At 47.5% G+C, this 18,597-nt stretch overlaps 1 protein-coding gene, 1 long non-coding RNA gene and 1 pseudogene across 3 annotated transcripts in view, besides 3 other annotated features; 1 reads left to right on the plus strand and 2 right to left on the minus strand.

The window, feature by feature from the left end:
• On the minus strand, positions 7,699-8,290 carry TRMT112P6 (tRNA methyltransferase subunit 11-2 pseudogene 6; annotated as a pseudogene).
• Positions 8,213-8,741: an enhancer, noted in NCBI's record as "H3K4me1 hESC enhancer chr2:26251416-26251944 (GRCh37/hg19 assembly coordinates)". NCBI's record gives its function as "activates a minimal SCP1, AML or CMV promoter by ChIP-STARR-seq in primed H9 embryonic stem cells {active_cell/tissue: H9 hESC(primed)}" and the evidence as "EXISTENCE:reporter gene assay evidence [ECO:0000049][PMID:30033119]".
• LOC124907743 (uncharacterized) lies at positions 12,077-13,415 on the minus strand. Its single transcript, XR_007086249.1, has 2 exons — positions 13,344-13,415; positions 12,077-12,327 (listed from the first exon to the last, which is right to left on the minus strand). It is a non-coding gene; the product is annotated as an uncharacterized LOC124907743 (long non-coding RNA).
• Positions 12,951-18,597, plus strand: part of RAB10 (RAB10, member RAS oncogene family) — a 104,170-nt gene continuing 98,523 nt past the window's right edge. The window contains exon 1 of one of the 2 annotated variants that reach the window (XM_047443004.1): positions 12,951-13,407. In XM_047443004.1, coding sequence (XP_047298960.1) covers positions 13,296-13,407 — 112 coding nt within the window. In that variant the 5' untranslated portion in view covers positions 12,951-13,295. Of the gene's footprint in view, positions 13,408-13,749; positions 14,402-18,597 lie in introns of those variants that run through there. The other variant, NM_016131.5, reaches the window with a different exon arrangement.
• Positions 13,416-13,645: a silencer, noted in NCBI's record as "silent region_11268". NCBI's record gives its function as "represses an Ori minimal core promoter by ATAC-STARR-seq in GM12878 lymphoblastoid cells {active_cell/tissue: GM12878}" and the evidence as "EXISTENCE:reporter gene assay evidence [ECO:0000049][PMID:35858748]".
• Positions 13,956-14,005: an enhancer, noted in NCBI's record as "active region_15467". NCBI's record gives its function as "activates an Ori minimal core promoter by ATAC-STARR-seq in GM12878 lymphoblastoid cells {active_cell/tissue: GM12878}" and the evidence as "EXISTENCE:reporter gene assay evidence [ECO:0000049][PMID:35858748]".

An 18,597-nucleotide genomic window follows, 5' to 3' on the forward strand; every position in this document is an offset into this window, starting at 1 on the left:
CCTCAGGATGGGCTGGGAGCACAGGTCACCTGAACCTGGGGTAGAGGGGGCTAGAAAGAGGCAGTGGAGACCCAGGAAAGAGGAACCGAGGCTGCAGCAGCCTTGGAGGGCAGGCAGGAGCCAAGTTTCAGCAGAGGTGCAGCACATTCAAGTGGCAAGGTCAGCAGAAGGTGGGAAAGAGGAAGTGGACGTGCACAAATGTCAGGTAGAGCTGGAGTCATCCTGGGAATTTTACCAGAAACAAGTGTATCAGTCACGGGTTTTGGTTGCAACAGAAACTGATATTTGGCATTTAGAAGCAGAACATACATTTACTGAAAGGCTATTGGGAAGCTCTCAGAATTACTGGGAAGGCTAGAGAAACAGGCTCAGGGATCTGGGGAAAGCAACAGGCCACAGATTCAGTCTGTTAGGCCAAGCAGTGAGTCCATCACTGCCCCTGCCGGACCCCAAAGAGATTCTGTAGCCTATAGCACCATGGTGGCCAGCACTGGACTTGGGATCCCATCCAGCTCTGGGGTCCAGAGGTGGCCCAGAAACCAAGTGCTACTGCTCTCAGTCGCCCTCACTGTGCCTGCTTCTTTGTGTAGCTGTACACCTGTAATCCCAGCTACTCAGGAGGCTGAGGCAGAAGAATGACTCGAACCCGGGAGGTGGAGGTTGCAGTGAGCTGAGATTGTGCCACTGCCCTCCAGCCTGGGCGACTGGGTAAGACTCCATCTCAAAAAAAGAAAAAAAAAAAAAAGAAAGAAAGAAATAGCATCCCTATTTGGCCTTCAAGGACACAGGGCAGGTTTGCCCTGTGGACACCAGTGCCCTGAGGGAGGGCAAAAGGTAGTGGAACCCTGAATGCATAAGCTACATGGGCAAAAGTCTGGCTTCCTCTTGGGAGTATTTTTTCTTTTATTTTTATTTTCAATGTTTGTGGGTACATAGTAGGTGTATATATTTATTGGGTACATGAGGTGTTTTGATACAGACATGAAATGTGAAAGAAGCACATCATGGAAAATGGGGTATCCATCCCCCCAAGCATTTATCCTTTGAGTTACAAACAGTAAAATTATACTCCTTTAAGTTATTATTATTATTTTTTGAGACAGAATCTTGCTCTGTCACCCAGGCTGGAGTGCAGTGGCGCGATCTCAGCTCACTGCAACCTCCACCTCCCAGATTCAAGCGATTCTCCTGCCTCAGCCTCTGCAGTAGCTGAGACTACAGGCGCACACCACCATGCCCGGCTAATTTTTTGTATTTTTAGTAGAGACAGGGTTTCACCATGTTGGCCAGGATGGTCTCGATCTTCTGACCTCGTGATCCGCCCACCTTGGCCTCCCAAAGTGCTGGGATTACAGGTGTGAGCCACTGCGCCCGGCCCCTAAGTTATTTTTCTTGGAGGTATTTTGGCCAACAGAGATGGCTGCTTTTAGATATTGTCTTGACAGTGACTGACTCAATTAGCAGGTGTGTAAGGGCTTTTGATAACCTATACTTCTACTCTTTCTCTGGCTCCAGGAAAAAGGTGAGGTAGCTTGCAAATAACTGGATTTTTCCAAACAGCTAGCACCAGACAGGGAGGGGAAAGAGCTGACAGCTGAGAGTTGAGCACCAAGCTTCAGAAACTGACAATTCCATAAAGTCCATGGCCAAGTTCATATGATGAAATAAATCTGTCACATTTTTAAATTTGCATGACTATTGTTATGCTATGTGGCAGTTAGGCATAAAAGAAACAGCCAGAATCTATATTTTTTGTATTGATCCAAACCAAATATTTAGGGTTTTTCTTCTCATTTTGATATTTTTCTGCAAATGATAACTATAAAGAGTATCAATATCAATGTCATCTACCTCCATGTGCAATTTGATCTTCTCAATTTGTTTAAAAATTTAGATCTGGGATGCTGAGCACTGAGTTAATCACATTCCTCACTTTCTAGCACATTGACCACTGACTATGTGGTCTGTGCAAGGTCCTACTCATTTTATATTTTTCCCCCTTCTTTTTTTTTTTTGAGACAGAGTCTCGCTCTGTCGCCCAGGCTGGAATGCAATGGCACGATCTCGGCTCAATGCAACCTTCACCTCCCAGATTCAAGCAATTCTCCTGCCTCAGCCTCCCGAGTAGCTAGGATTACAGGCACCTGCCATCATGCCCAGCTAATTTTTGTATTTTTGTAGAGACGGGGTTTCATCATGTTGGCCAGGCTGGTCTTGAACTCCTGACATCAGGTAATCAGCCCGCCTCGGCCTCCCAAAGTGCTGGGATTACAGGCGTGAGCCACTGTACCCAGCCTATTTTTCCCCCTTCTTCCCTCTCATTGCCTTCTTCTTCCATAGGTTTCATGTGTAATATGTTTGATGTATGTTATTAAACATGTGTGAAACCTCATAAAAGAAAGTTGTTGTTTGTAATTTACCTGAATGGCATTGTATTATAAATCTTTTTTTTTTTTTAATGAGATAGAGTCTTGCTCTGTCACTCACGCTGGAGTGCAGTGGTATGATCTCGGCTTACTGCAACCTCCACCTCCCAGGTGCAAGCAATTCTGTCTCAGTCTCCCGAGTAGCTGCGATTACAGGCGCCTGCCACCACATCTGGCTAATTTTTGTATTTTTAGTAGAGACAGGGTTTCACCATGTTGGACAGGCCAGTCTCAAACTCCTGACCTCGTGATCTGCCTGCCTAGGCCTCCCAAAGTGCTGGGATTACAGGTGTGACCACCACGCCCAGCCTATAATTCATTTTCTGTTTCCTTTGTTTCAGTTCACTATGTTGCTGAAGGTGTAGCTAGTTAGGGGCTTAATAGTGCATGTGGGATAGGCCACGGGCAAGCCTGCTATCGGCCCAATAATACAAGAAACTTTCTTATATGGTATACGGTAGGCCCTTGAATGCTGACCTGGCCTCCTCCTGTGGTTAATCCTACAAAAAAAAGCTAGTCCCAGGCTGGGTGCGGTGGCTCACGCCTGTAATCCCAGCACTTCGGGAGGCCAAGGTGGGTGGATCGCCTGAGGTCAGGAGTTTGAGACCAGCCTGGCCAACATGGTGAAACCCCATCTCTACTAAAAATACAAAAATTAGCCAGGTGTGGTGGCATGCACCTGTAATCCCAGCTCCTCGGGAGGCTGAGGCAGGAGAATCACTTGAACCTGGGAGGCGGAGGTTGCAGTGAGCCGAGGTCATGCCACTGCACTCCAGCCTGGAGAATAAGACCGAGAATTCGTCTCAAAAAAAAAAAAAAAAAAAGCTAGTCCCAACTCTGACCTCATTAGACCAGTTTTCTCCCTATGAATGTGGGATAGGCCATGGGTAAGGCCTGCGGTGATCACCAGAACTTAGGCATGTTTCTGTGAGGAACTAGAAAAGCATTGTTCTTTGCTTATGTGCTTATTTCACATTGCATGCCTGTATCATTGTTCTTTGCTTAGCTTGTTTGCCAATTTGTTATTTTTATTTTTATATTTTTTTTGAGCGGGAGTCTTGCTCTGTCACCCAGGCTGGAGTGCAGTGGCATGATCTCAGCTCACTGCAACCTCTGCCTCCTGGGTTCAAGCGATTCTCCTGCCTCAGTCTCCCGAGTAGCTGGGATTACAGGCCTACACCACCACGCCTGGCTAATTTTTTTTTTTTATTTTTAGTAGATACGGGGTTTTACCATGTTTTCCAGGCTAGTCTCAAACTCCTGACCTCAATTGATCCACCCGCCATGGCCTCCCAAAGTGCTGGGATTACAGGCTTAAGCCACCGCACCTGGCCCCAGTTTATTAATAAACAGAAGTGCTAACAACCTTAACTTGGGTCTGAGTTGTCATAATAGCCAATTTTCAAACCCAAGCCAACCCTTTCTGATCTGCTCTAACTCAGTGAGCATCCATTGTATTTTATTTACTTATTCTCCTAGTAATAGATGCTTAGATTGGTTCCAATCCAACATCTAGCTACGACAAAGCAATGATGAACCTGTGTGGGAATTTCTCTTGGACGCCCCCAGGAATAGTGCTGTTGAGTCACAGGTATGTACATTATTTATTAAATATTGCCTTGTTGCTTCCCAGAATGGGTAGACCAGATTGAATTCCTGTCAGCTATGCATGAGAGTTCTCATCTCTTCACATCTTTACCAACACTTGGTATTATCCATCTTTCTAATTTTTGCCATGCTGATGGATGGAAAATATTATCTTATTGTTTAATTTTAATTTCTCTGGTTACAAACTTGAATATTTTGTTTCAGAACATTTCTTCATATAGTCATACACTTCTGTTAATTGCCTGTTCTTCTTCTTAATTTTATTTTTTTAGAAGAGGTCTTCCTTTGTCTCTCAGATTTGAGTGCAGAGACACCATCACAGCTCACTGCAACCTTGAACTCCTGGGCTCAAGTGATCCTCCTACCTCAGCCTCCTGAGCAGCTAGGACTACAGGCGTGAGCCACCATGTCCAGCTAATTTTATTTTTTGTAGAGACAGGGTTTTTTTTTTTTTTTGAGACAGAGTCTCTCTCTGTTACCCAGGCTGGAGTGCAGTGGCACTATCTCGGCTCACTGCAAGTTCCACCTCCCAGGTTCACGCCATTCTCCTGCCTCAGCGTCCCGAGTAGCTGGAACTACAGGCGCCCACCACCAGGTCCAGCTAATTTTTTTGTATTTTTAGTAGAGACGGAGTTTCACCATGTTAGGCAGGATGGTCTCGATCTCCTGACTTCGTGATCCTCCCGTCTTGGCCTCCCAAAGTGCTGAGGTTACAGGCGTGAGCCACCGCACCCGGCTGAGACAGGGTCTTGCCATATTGCCTAGGCTGATTGGGATCAAGTGATCTTCCCTCCTCAGCCTCCCAAAGTGTTGAGATTACAGGCACGAGCCACTGTGCCTAGCCTTCTTGGTCTATTTTAAATTTGTAAATGTGAAATGTAATTTTAATCATAATTTATTGTATAGCTCTTTAGTTACAATGCAGTTAACCTGGAAGGTGGTTTTGAAACCATCTTCGTCTTAGATATTTCTACTACCTGCCAGTGGTAGCTTGATCTGGTTATTTCCATGGGATTATGCCCTCAACTCAAACATAATGTTCAATTATGGGTGTCATACTCTAAGAGAGACATAAGCAAAGCAGAATGATGGTGATGATAGTTTTCTGAGAATCGTCTTATATGAAAAGAGTTTCAATACCTCAGAAGGGGAAGAAAAAGAGAGAGGGTTAACTTGAAGCAGCCTAGAGGAAAACACCAATACTATGTTCAGATAGTTAAAGCACTGTCATGTGAAATTAGGGAAAGATTTATCCAGTGTTGCCCTAGAGGATGGAATTAAAACAAATGGGTGATGTTATAGACAAACATAGTTACTCTCAGTCTGTGGAATGCTTTTTTGTCACAAATACCTAGCCCTGCAATCAGCTGTCTGCAAGGCAAGCTCACTGGCCATGTTGATATAGAGGCTGGTTGGGGCATTTTTTCATGGAGCAGGAAATTAGTTACAACTTCCAACATTTCTCCCAATATAGATATAATTTAATTTAACTAAAGTTTATTGAGCTCCCACTACATGCAAGACACTGGGCCAAGGTAGGAGGATTACTTGAAGCCAGGAGTTCAAGACTTGCCTGGGCGACATAGTGAGAACCTATCTCTACAAAAAAATAAAATAAATTAGGCATGGTGGCACATTCCTGTAGTCCTAGCTGCTTGGGAGGCTGAGGCAGGAGACTCAATTGAGCCCAGAAGTTTACTGTGGGAATACAGAAGATAGTGTGGGAAAGAAGTCTCGTTCAGCTTCTCTGAAGATTAGCATATGGAAGCTAGGATAGAAAATAAGACTTGTTGGCGAGGGCCTGGAGCCCCTCAACAGCCAGCTGAGATCAGCATTTCAGAACTGAGGCATCCTTGGCAGTGGATTAGAACAAACATAGCCAAAGGACTGGGGAAGACTCCCGGGGCAATCATTTTCTTTTCTTGAGACAGAGTCTTGCTCTGTCACCCAGGCTGGAGTGCAGTGGCATGATCTCAGCTCACTGCAACCTCTGCCTCTTGAGTTCAAGCGATTCTCCTGCCTCAGCCTCCCGAGTAACTGGGATTACAGGCACACGCCATCATGCCCGGCTAATTCTTTTTTTTTTAGTAGAGACAGGGTTTCACCGTGTTGGCCAGGCTGGCCTCGAACTCCTGACCTTGTGATCTGCCTACCTCGGCCTCCCAAAGTGCTGGGATTACAGGCGTGAGCCACCGCACCCGGCTTTGTTTTTTTGTTTTTTTTTTTTTTTTGAGACAGGGTCTTGCTCTGTTGCCCAATCTGGAGTACAGTGGCGGGATCTTGGCTCACTGCAACCTTGACTTTCCAGGCTCAAGCAATCCTCCTGCTTCAGCCCCCTAAGTAGCTGGGACTACAGGCATGTGCCACCATGCCTGGTAGGGCAATTATTTTCTAACAAGAGGAGGCCTAAGTCAAGATATGCAGGCAGAGCAGAATACTGACGGGCTGCCAGCCACTAGGCAATCAGTACTTAGCATCAGGAAAGTCTAACCAAGATCTATCCTCATGAAGTCCCTGCAGGAAGACTGTGGGTGTGAACACAGGAAATAAGCAGTAGTAAATACACAAAGTCCTGGAGACTGGAGGGGAAGGTTTTATAGCAAGGTGATGACGTAGCAGTCGGCTGGCCCTTCAAGGGAAGACTCGATTCTCTCTCTTTTTTTTTTTTTTTTTTTTTTTGAGACGGAGTTTCCCTCTTTTTGCCCAGGCTGGAATGCAATGGTACGATCTCGGTTCACTGCAACCTCCGCCTCCTGGGTTCAGGCAATTCTCCTGCCTCAGCCTCTCGAGTAGCTGGGATTACAGGCATGCACCACCATGCCTGGCTAATTTTGTATTTTTTAGTAGAGACAGGGTTTCTCCATGTTGGCCAGGCTAGGCTGGAACTCCCGACCTCAGGTGATCCGCCTGCCTCAGCCTGGCCAAGTGCTGGGATTACAGGCGTGAGCCATCACGCCCGGCCTGGAAGACTCAATTCTTATGAAGAACACGGAGAGCAAGTTGGGGAGGGATAAAAGAGTAAGAAATCAGGTATAGAGACTGAATATGCATGGGAACAGTGGTAAAGATGATCCTGCCTCAATATCTTTTGAGGCAGGAGTTTTTTATAAGGTAGAGGCAGGTCCTAAAAGCTTAAGTTGAAGACTAGAACCATGAACTGGTCAACTATGCTTTTTCTAGAAAAATATAGAGATAATACCTTAATTGATAGTATAAACATATAAATATACCTCTTTTTTCTTGGCTTTGCAAATATTTGGACTACTACTTTCTCTTTTCCTCCCTCCCTCCTTTATTTATTTATTTACTTATTTTATTTATTTATTTTTTTGAGACAGAGTTTCGCTCTGTTGCCCAGGCTGGATTGCAGTGGCACGATCTCGGCTCACTGCAAGCTCCGCCTCCTGGGTTCACGCCATTCTCCTGCCTCAGCCTCCCGAGTAGCTGGGACTACAGACGCCCACCACCATGCCCGGCTAATTTTTTGTATTTTTAGTAGAGACGGGGTTTCACTGTGTTAGCCAGGATGGTGTTGATCTCCTGACCTCGTGATCCACTTGCCTCGGCCTCCCAAAGTGCTGCGATTACAGGTGTTAGCCACCGCGCCCAGCCTCCCATTTATTTATTTATTTTTTATTTTTATTTTTATTTATTTATTTATTTATTTTGGTTTTGAACCTTTAATGAGAAAAAAATATATAATATCGAGCTCAAGAACACTGTGTGTTTGGTGTCATTGGGTCAAGGGTTGGGGATACACACGGCAGAATTCGGAAACGGTATATGTCAACAAAAATACACACAATCATAACAAGAAAAACTGGCGCCTGGCACAATCAACTCTCAGTTTCCTCTTCACTCAGCAGCATGTTGGGGATCCCGCGGCTGATGGGGAACATACGTCCAGATTCCGGGCACTGCAGGGTGCCCTCTATCACTTCCACCTCCAGCAGCAGGTGGTGCATGGTCCTCAGAAACTCTTCATTCTCCTCATATCCCTCAACTGGCCCTTTAGGCATCTGGATCAGGCGCAAGCTATCGGCCGCCTCCAGGAACGCCGACCACTCCACCTTAGGTATCATATGTACCACGTATGATACGTGCCACGTATGATGCCACATAAATTGGGGGTTGAACTCCACAGGGCAGATACGGACCTCGGTGGCCTGGAGGCACAGGGGGAAGCCACGGGACCCCATCCCCCGCACATGCGAGCTCAGCAGATTGTGGGTGAGCAGTTTCATGTCGCCACACAACTATTTTTTATTTTTTGAGACGGAGTCTCACTCTGTCGCCCAGGCTGGAGTGCAGTGGCGTGATCTCAGCTCACTACAACCTCTGCTTCCCGGGTTCAAGCGATTCTGCTGCCTCAGCCTCCTGAGTAGCTGGGACTACAGGCGCACGCTACCAGGCCCAGCTAATTTTTATATTTTTAGTAGAGACAGGGTTTCACCATGTTGACAAGGATGGTCTCGATCTCTTGACCTCGTGATCCACCCGCCTCAGCCTCCCAAAGTGCTGGGATTACAGGCGTGAGCTACTGTGCCCAGTCTATTTATTTTTTTGACAGTGTGTCTCACTCTGTTGCTCACGCTGTAGTGCAGTGGCAGGATCATGGCTCACTGCAGCCTCAGCCTCCCAGGCTCAAGCAATCCTCCCACCTCAGCCTTCCGGAGTAGCTGGGATCACAGGAACTCATCACCATGTCAGGCTAATTTTTTCTTACTTTTTTTAGAGATGGGGCTTCACCATGTTACCTAGGCTGGTCTGGAACTCCTAGACTCAAGCTCTCTGCCTACCTTGGCCTCCTAAAGTGCTGGGATTACAGGCATGAGCCTCTGCGCCTGGCCTGGACTACATTTTTTGTTGTTGTTGTTGTTGAGATGGAGTCTCGTTCTGTCACTCAGCCTGGAGTGCAGTGGTGCGATCTCGACTCACTGCAACCTCGGCCTCCCAGGCTCAAGCGAGTCTCCTGCCTCAGCCTCCCAAGTAGCTGGAATTATAGGTACCTGCCACCATGCCTGGCTAATTTTTGTGTTTTTAGTAGAGATGGGGTTTCACCAAGTTGGCCAGGCTGGTCTCAAACTCCTAATCAAGTGATCCACCCGCCTGGGCCTCTCAAAGTGCTGGGATTACAGGCATGAGCCACTGCACCTGGCCTCTGGACTACATTCTTTATAGAGCAATTTTGAAAAAAGCATAACCCCTAAACTAGCAGTAGATTGGCATTTTTTTCACTGTTTCCACTTTTATGAAATATTTCTTCATAACTCTAGGTTTATCCTTTAGGCCTGTGTAGATCCCCATTTTACTCTTCTTTTCTAGAGTCAGAGATCTTCCATACCTTGATCACTTCTGCTTGCTTCACTGGCAGATATAGCTTGATGCTTAGGCCTCACTCCAGCAAAACCTTTAATTAACTTTAGAGAATCCAAATGCTAAGTACTGGCCGAGCCTCTCAATCCTCGCAATTCTCACCTTGAGGTAATACGGTGTCCTGTGGAGGTTTTCTTCTCTTTTCCCTTGCCCGTATAGTCCAGGCTCTGCACTAACAGTGTGACCTCTGGGAAGGCCCTAACTTCTCTGAATCTCAGACTCCTCATCTGTGAGTTACGTGCAGGGGTCAAATTATGATTTAAAATATATGGTGGGGCATGTTGGCTCGCACTTGTAATCCCAGCATTTTGGGAGGCCAAGGCTGGCAGATTGTTTGAGCCTAGGAGTTCAAGACCAGCCTGGGCAACATGGCAAAACCCCATCTCCACAAAAAATATAAAAATTAGCTGGGCGTAATGGTGCACATCCATAGTCTCAGGGACTTGGGAGGCTGAAGTGGGAGGACTGCTTGAGCCCAAGAGGCTGAGGCTGCAGTGAGCCATGATCGTTCCACTGCACTGCAGCTTGGGCGACAGAGTGAGAACCTGCCTCAAAAAAAAAAAAAAAAAAAAAAAAGGTATCCTGGCGGGGCACAGTGGCTCACGCCTATAATTCCAGCACTTTGGGAGGCCAAGGAGGGCAAATCACTTGAGGTTAGGAGTTCAAGACTATCCTGGTCAGGGATGGTGGCTCACGCCCTAGTTAAAGGCTTATGCTTTTTTCAGAATTGCTCTATAAAGAATGTAGTCCAGGGGCTGGGCGCGGTGGCTCATTCCTGTAATCCCAGCACTTTGGGAGGCTGAGGAGGGCGGATCACTTGAGGTCAGGGGTCTAAGAGCAGCCTTGCCAACATGATGAAACCCCATCTCTACTAAAAATACAAAACTCAAGACAGGCGTGGTGGCGGTGCCTGTAATACCAGCTACTTGGGAGGCTGAGGCAGGAGTTTCACTTGAACCAGGAGGCAGAAGTTGCAGTGAACCAAGACTGTGCCACTGCACTCCAGTCTGGGTGAAAGAGTGAGATTCTATCTCAAAAAAAAAAAAGTCTATGATCGATAATTTGTTAATAAATGTAATAATTCCTAAAGTTTCAGAATATGAGTTCATGGGGAAAGGTTTCTAAGTGATAAAATTGTTGGTTACAGGATAAAAAATAAAGTGAAAAAATCTTTTTTACTTATATTTGTACATATTAATGGAAGTACATGTGATTTTTGATACATGCATACTGTGTGTAATGATCAAATCATTACAAATGAGGTTACCCATCACCTCAAACATTTATCATTTGTGTTGGGTTTTTCAGATTTTTCAACTGTCCATTATCCCCAAAATTTACGTAGTGGTATTACTCTCCAAATTAGGCTTTTTTTTTTGAGATGGAGTCTTGCTCTGTCACCAGGCTAGAATGCAGTGGTGCAATCTTGGCTCACTGCAACCTCCGACTCCCTGGTTTAAGCAATTCTCCTGCCTCAGCCTCCTGAGTAGCTGGGACTACAGGTGCATGCCACCATGCTCAGCTAATTAATGTATTTTTAGTAGAGATGGGGTCTCACCATGTTGGCCAAGATGGTCTCGATCTCTTGACCTCAAACGATCCACCCACCTCGGTCTCCCAAAGTGCTGGGATTACAGGTGAGAGCCACTAGGCCCGGCCCAAATTAGGCCTTCTACAGGAAAAAGTCTTGGCTGGGCCTGTTGGCTCACACCTGTAATCCCAGCACCTTAGGAAGCCAAGGTGGGAGGATCGCTTGAGGCCAGGAGTTTGAGGTTGCAGTGAGGCCTCCACACTCCAGTGTGGGAAACAAGCAAGACCCTGTCTTAAAAACAAACAAAACCTTTAACACTTCATTTTTTCACAGATGGAGTCCACTCTGTTGTCCAGGCTGGTCTCAATCTCCTGGGGTCAAGCAATCCTCCCTCCTCAGCCTCCTGAATAGCTGGGACTACAGGTTCAGTCACTGTGCCCAGCTTAAAAACTTTCAAGACTTTTAAAATACTTTGTAACATTGAGGCTTGAGTTAATCTAACTTATTTTGAAAGGAATAATCAAGGTAACAAGATTTTCCTTCTGACGCTGAATTGACGACACACCTGTGCTGCACTGACCATCACTCACTTTGTGATTTGCATAGCTAGTCTATTTTAGAATTGTTATTATCATAAGGCATTCCCGACTACAGTCAGAATGATTCATAGAGGATAAGAAGGTTTAAGTGAGGCCAGGCGCAGTGGCTCTCACCTGTAATCCCAGCACTTTGGGAGGCTGAGGCGGATGGATCATCTGAGGTCAGGAGTTCAAGACCAGCCTGGCCAACATGGTGAAACCCCGTCTCTACTAAAAATATAAAAATTAGCCAGGCTTGGTGGCACACGCCTGTAATCCCAGCTACTAAGGAGGCTGAGGCAGGAGAATCACTTGAACCCGGAAGGGCTGCAGTAAGCCGAGATTGTGCCACTGCACTCCAGCATGGGTGGTAGAGTGAGAGTCTGTCTCAAAAAAAAAAAATGTTTAAGTGACAAGACTAGGAGCAATTGGAGAAAACAACTGAAGAGAAAGCTGTATTAGTGAAGACAAGTATCTTCGGTAAGGACGCTTTAGGGGTGGTTGAGAAGAAAGGAAAAATGTAAGACAGAAATATAAGACAGAAATGTAAGACGGAATTGCCTGAAAGTCTAACTTTAATTACATATCAAATACACATTTTGGTGATTTGGCGATCTTGGGGTGGTGTGTGTGAAAATGTAGTTTTTACTTCTCTATCCCTGTTTCTTGTTTTCCACATACTTCAGCGTTTTCCACTTTATCAGGTTGAACCAGCTCACCAGGTTCAACTCCTGTGCCATCACACCTAGGTGTGCTTTGAGGGATGGATGTCCCTGAGAATGGAAGGTCAGCAGCATGCATACTGCAACTACAGAAGGGTAGGAGAGAAAAAGGGTGGCGTAAACAGGACTGATGGGGAGAGAGAACAGAAGGTAAAGCAAATGCAAAGAAAATGCGAGGGCCCGGGCGCGGGGGCTAACGCCTGTAATCCCAGCACTTTGGGAGGCCGGGGCGGGCGGGTCACCTGTCAGGTGTTCGACACCAGCCTGACTAACAGGGTGAAACCCCGTCTCTACTAAATACAAAAAATTAGCCGGGCGTGGTAGCACATGCCTGTAATCCCAGCTACTTGGGAGGCCGAGGCAGGAGAATCACTTGAACCCAGGTGGTGGAGGTTGCAGTGAGCAGAGATTGTGCCATTGCACTCTAGCCTGGGCAACAAGAGCGAAACTCCATCTCAAAAAAAAAAAAAAAAAGAAAGAAAAGAAAAAAAGAAAAAGAAAATGCGAGGAAACGAGCGAAACTCCATCTCAAAAAAAAAAAAAAAAAAAAGAAAGAAAAGAAAAAAAGAAAAAGAAAATGCGAGGAAGCAGGCTGTGTCGGACTGGGAGTAGGCTTGACCACCTTTCAATTTTCAACCCAGTGGTACGACGCTGGCGGCAGGCAGAGGCCCCACCTCCTCTGCAGAGCGCTCTCGGGTTCTCCCGGATTCCTGAAGGACGGCAAAGGCCTGAAGCAGGTTCTCTGAGCACCGCACAGAACCCTCCACTTCGCAGGGAGGTTCTTCCTGCGCCCAGGTGTTCCTCAACCTTCCTCTCCTCGCCCAGGAAGAGGTTGTGAGGATTACCTCATCCCAACCCGAGCGGCGTGGCCAGCTTTTCCATCTCAAACTCTTGCTCTTGAAGTCAATCCGGATGGAGCGCTCATGTTTCCCCGTCAGGGCTGGCCCTGGAGAGGGGGCACGCCGGGAGGCGTCTCGTTCTAGCAAAGAGGCTATTAAATGACCCAGGGCGCGGCTTTTTCTCGCGTTTACGAGCTCCACCTACACGGGAACACATGGCCACCCAAGCCCGTCGCTGCGCCAAGACCTCCAGCTCAACACACCCGACAAGCGCTGTGCAGAGAAACCGCAGCGCAGTCCAGCGGGAGACCCCGGGAGGGGAAGGAGGTGCTGGGCTCTGTAAGGGTGTCCCGGGGAGCGGGGAGCGGGAGGCGGGAGGCGGGGGTCGGAGGGGGGGCGCTGCGCCTGCGCAGTCGCTAGGTAGCGTCTCCCCCGGGGCGTGCTCGTAACGCCGCGCACCCTATCAGGCGGCCACAGGGAGCGCGCCCGCGGCCTCGCCCTTTCTCGCCCCTCCCTTCTCCCCTCTGGGTCCAGCCTCAGACTGAGGCTTGGAGACAGGAGCATTCCACTCGCCACTTCGGCGCGCCCCCATGCCCTCTTGTGCGCGTGCGCAGAGGCGGACCGCAAGGCTAGGGCGTGAGGGAAGGGCGGGCGTACGCCCTTGCGTGCGTCTCAGGCAGCGCGCACGCCGGCGTGAGAGGGCACGGGGAAAAGGTGGCTCTGGCCGGGGTGGCTCGGTTTCCTGGGGCTATGTAACTGAGCTCGTCGACTTAGGGGTCCTTCTTCGCTGCCCTCGCCGCGTGCTAGCAGGGAGTTTCCGCTCGGGAGAGAGACTGTCCTCACGCCCGCTGCGCCTCCTCGACGGCAGAGCAGGCTTGCTCGCCCGTGGGAGCGTCCCGGCCGAGAAGCCCTGAGGGGGGAGGGGAGGCCATTTTGTCCCGACCGACTCCCCGGAACCGGGCGGACGGGCTGGGAGAGGCTGCGGAGCCGCGGTCGCCGCCCTCGGAGGCACTGGACGCCGCCACTGTCGGGGCTTCCTCAAAGCTGTTCGTAGGTCGCCCGCGCCGTCTCGAGCCTTTTTCCCACGCTTCCCCGGTCCTCCGGCCTGAGAACGCCCGAGTGAGGAGTTGGCCGTAGTGAGAGGGACCGATCCCTTGGGGCCGCCGGCGGCGAGAGCCCGAGCCGCTCCTCCCAATGGCGAAGAAGACGTACGACCTGCTTTTCAAGCTGCTCCTGATCGGGGATTCCGGAGTGGGGAAGACCTGCGTCCTTTTTCGTTTTTCGGATGATGCCTTCAATACTACCTTTATTTCCACCATAGGTAAGACCTGTGGGAGGACGGTGTACGGTCTCGGTAGCTGCATACCGTTTATTTTACTCCAGACATCTTGCTTCCCGTAATATACGCCTTTGTTTCAGTGATTCCGATTCCAAACGACACATCCAAGTTACTGTTTGAATCGGCATCGAGCTTACTGGGGCGGGGTCTTCCCATGATTTCCATCCGGTCTTTTGCTTTCGAGTCTCCCACTATGCTCAGTGCCTTCTGTTACAAAATATGCATCATTTAACCATGTTCCAGAACCTTATTTCTTCAGGCGACTGGACTGGCTTTTTCCACATTTGCGTGGAATTAGTAGATGTGTGATATTTTTAAGGTATTTATTTCAGTGGTTGCGATTGAAGCAGTACTAGCTATTTGGGAAAGGCCTGAATTTATACTTTGGGGCAAAGAAAAGATTCCATATGGTGATAACTTAGAGTAAACTTGAGGGTTTCTGAGAAGAATAATTAAGGTAAATTAGAAGGGAAGAGTGAGTTGCCCTCATTCACTAATCCATTGATGTGTCAAACAATCGGAGGCTCTTCGCGCTTGGGGTGGGACTCTGGCATATTTGCCTCAGTGCTTTTCGAGACATCAACAGAAGCAGTAATCTGAGGGAGATGATCAGTTTCTGTCCTCAAACCCAACGGAGTGAAGTCAAGCTCTCTCTTCTATTTTATTTGACTCTAGTATTTACAGGAAAGTATTTTGCCAGTCATAGCCCTATGGACTTATAATGCACTTTCACCATGTTTCAGAATTACTTAGTGTGGAAGTAAGAGCTAAAGAGTGACCTTTTTAATCGAATTTCCCGTTTAGGAAAGGAAAAGGGAAGGCTCTAGGAAAGTCCCTTTTGAATCTGGTTAGAAAATTTAAGTGGCATTGACGCTAATTGTGCTATATTAATTGTGAAACCCATCCGCTCCGCAATAAATTTCTTAAAAGACACATGGCTCTCAGCATTGTGGCGGTGCAGTTGAACCCATTTTTAAATGTACTTTTATATTGAGAGGCTTTTAAAAAGCAACGGCAGTCGTCTTTGAACTCTGGGAATTGTCAAAATTAAGCTGATTTGAAACAGTTTGTATAGCGTAACTGAAATATTTGGTTTGGGTTTTCTTTTGTGACAAATACCTGCTTCATTCTCACAAAAGAAATTATACTGAAATTAAATTGGACAAGTGATTTTTTAAATAGATTTTTATTTTGCTTACCTTTTTTGGGAGGCAAATTATCATAATCCTTATTTCCAGAGTATCATACTGTTTTCTTGGTCTGTCATAAATTTCATGAAACTTAGAGCTTGTTCTCTAACTTGTGGGTTAGAGAATACTAGCACTTAGCGCTAGCACTTCCCTAGCACTGTTTGCTTTTAACACTCCACTTTTAGCTGTAGCTGGCTAGGGTTAGGTGATCAGATGGGTCAGCAAATATTTATTGAGCACCTAATGCTGGGCACTGTTTTTAGGCACTGGGAATAAATGATGAACACAACAGACCCCTTGAGGAGCATTCCGGTGAGATAATCATAATAGTGTGGAAGATGCTACAATAGTAAGCACAGGGAGGAAGAGTGGCTAGTCTAAATCGTGAGGAGTTTGAGTAGGCTTACGTGGAGATGATACCTAAAATGAAGTCTGGGCCGGGCGCGGTGGCTCATGCCTGTAATCCCAGCACTTTGGGAGGCCTTGGCGGGCGGATCACAAGGTCGGGAGGTCAAGACCAGTTTGGCCAATATGGTGAAACCCCGTTTTTACTAAAAATACAAAAATTAGCTGGGCGTAGTGGCAGGCACCTGTAGTCCCAGCTACTCAGGAGGCTGAGGCAGGAGAATCACTTGAACCTGGGAGGCGGAGGTTGCAGTGAGCTGAGATTGTGCCACTGCACTCCAGCCTGGGCAACAAAGCCAGACTCCGTCTCAAAATAATAATAAATAAATGAAGTCTGAAGGACTAATAGGAATAGAGTCAGAGGGGTAGGATAGGGCCTTTCTGGAAAAGGGAGCATAGAACAAATGTATAGTAAGGTTGAGGATTTAATTCATGTGGTCAACTTTATTTATTTATTTTGAGACTGAGCCTCACTCTGTGGCCCAGGCTGGAGTGCAGTGGCGTGATCTCGGCCCACTGCAACCTCCGCCTCAGGGGTTCAAGCAATTCTGCCTCAGCTTCCTGAGTAGCAGAGACTACAGGTGCCCACCACCACACCTGGCTAATTTCTGTATTTTTAGTAGAGATGGTTTCACCATGTTGGTCAGGCTGGTCTTGACCTCAAGCAATCCACCGCCCCAGCCTCCCAAAGTGCTGGGATTACAGGCGTGAGCCACCACGCCTGGCTGTGTGGTCAACTTTAACCTATCCTTAGGAACAGTGTGGAGTAGGAAGCAAAACATTAACTCTGTCTACTCCAATCTTTTTGTAAAGGGTGCATGCCCCCAACTAAAACTCAATCCTGTAAGATAATGGTATAATCTTTTTGTAGCCCTTTTACTTGGGAAGATGTGTGATGATTTTGGATCAAGTCTGCTGGGTTGGAATCTTGTTTCCACAGGTTACTAGCTGTGCAACTTTGGCAGATTACTTAACCTCTGTCGGCTTCAGGCTCTTTAAGAGTGTTAAGGCTGGGCACGGTGGCTCACTCCTGTAATCCCAGCTCTTTGGGAGGCCGAGGCAGGCGGATCACCTGAGGTCGGAAGTTCGAGACCAGCCTGATCAACATGGAGAAACCCTGTCTCTACTAAAAATACAAAAATTATCTGGGCGTGGTGGCGCATGCTTGTAATCCCAGTTACTCAGGAGGCTGAGGCAGGAGAATCGCTTGAACCCGGGAGACAGAGGTTGTGGTGAGCCGAGATCGTGCCATTGCACTCCAGCCTGGGCAACAAGAGTGAAACTCTGTCTCAAAAAAAAAAAAAAGTGTCAATCATAATATCTACCACATAGGGTAGTTGTGAGGATTTTAGGGGTTAGTGAGAGTAAAGCACTTCACATGGTGCCAGGACCAGGCACTTTGTAGGAGCACAGTGCATATTAGCTATATATAGAATATGTGACTCTTCTGCTGTGGAGGTGTGGCAGAACATGTTATTTTATGGATTGAACATCCTGCACACCGTGGTACCCAAGTATTTGTTGGTGCTCCACTAAACAATTTCTTTTTTTTTTTGAGACGGAGTTTCGTTCTTTTTGCCCAGGCTGGAGTGCAATGGTGTGATCTCGGCTCACTGCAACCTCCGCCTCCCAGGCTTAGGTGATTCTTCTGCCTCAGCCTCCCAAGTAGCTGGGATTACAGGCATATGCCACCACACCTGGCTAATTTTGTATTTTTAATAGAGACGGGGTTTCACCATGTTGGCCAGGCTGGTCTCGAACTTCTGACCTCAGGTGATCTGCCCGCCTCAGCGTCTCAAAGTGCTGGGATTACAGGCGGAAGCCACCACACTGCCCTCCTTTGTTTGTTTGTTTTTTTTTTTTTTGAGATGGATTTTCGCTTTTGTTGCTCAGGCTGGAGTGTAGTGGCACAATCTCTGTTCACTGCAACCTCTGCCTCCCAGGTTCAAGCGATTCTCCTGCCTCAGCCTCCTGAGTAGCTGGGATTACAGGTGCGCACCACCACGCCTGGCCAATTTAGTATTTTTAGTAGAGGTGGTGTTTCATCATGTTGGTCAGGCTGCTCTTGAACTCCTGACCTCAGGTGATCCACCTGCCTCAGCCTCCCAAACTGCTGGGATTACAGGCATGAGCCACTGCGCCCAGCCTAGACTCTGACATTTTCATACTTTCAGGTAAAAATGTTTTCACATATAAGATGTTGAATAGTGTAAGTTGAGAAAATAAATGATTCTGAGTACAGCTTGAACACATACATGTATTAGCTCTGTGCACAGGTTTAAAATACCATTGGGCGGGGCGCGATGGCTCACGCCTATAATCCCAGCGCTTTGGGAGGCTGAGGTGGGTGGATCACGAGGTCAGGAGATCGAGACCATCCTGCCAAACATGGTGAAACTTCGTCTCTACTAAAAATACAAAAAATTAGCTGTCCGTGGTGGTGGGCGCTTGTAGTCCCAGCTGCTCGGGAGGCTGAGGCAGGGGAATGGCATGAACCCAGAAGGTGGCGGAGCTTGCAGTGAGCCGAGGTCGCACTACTGCACTTCAGCCTGGGCAACAGAGCGAGACTCTGTCTCAAAAAAA

The sequence above is a fragment of the Homo sapiens genome, chromosome 2 (genome assembly GCF_000001405.40).
Source record: "Homo sapiens chromosome 2, GRCh38.p14 Primary Assembly".
In the NCBI taxonomy this organism is placed as follows: Eukaryota; Metazoa; Chordata; class Mammalia; order Primates; family Hominidae; genus Homo; species Homo sapiens.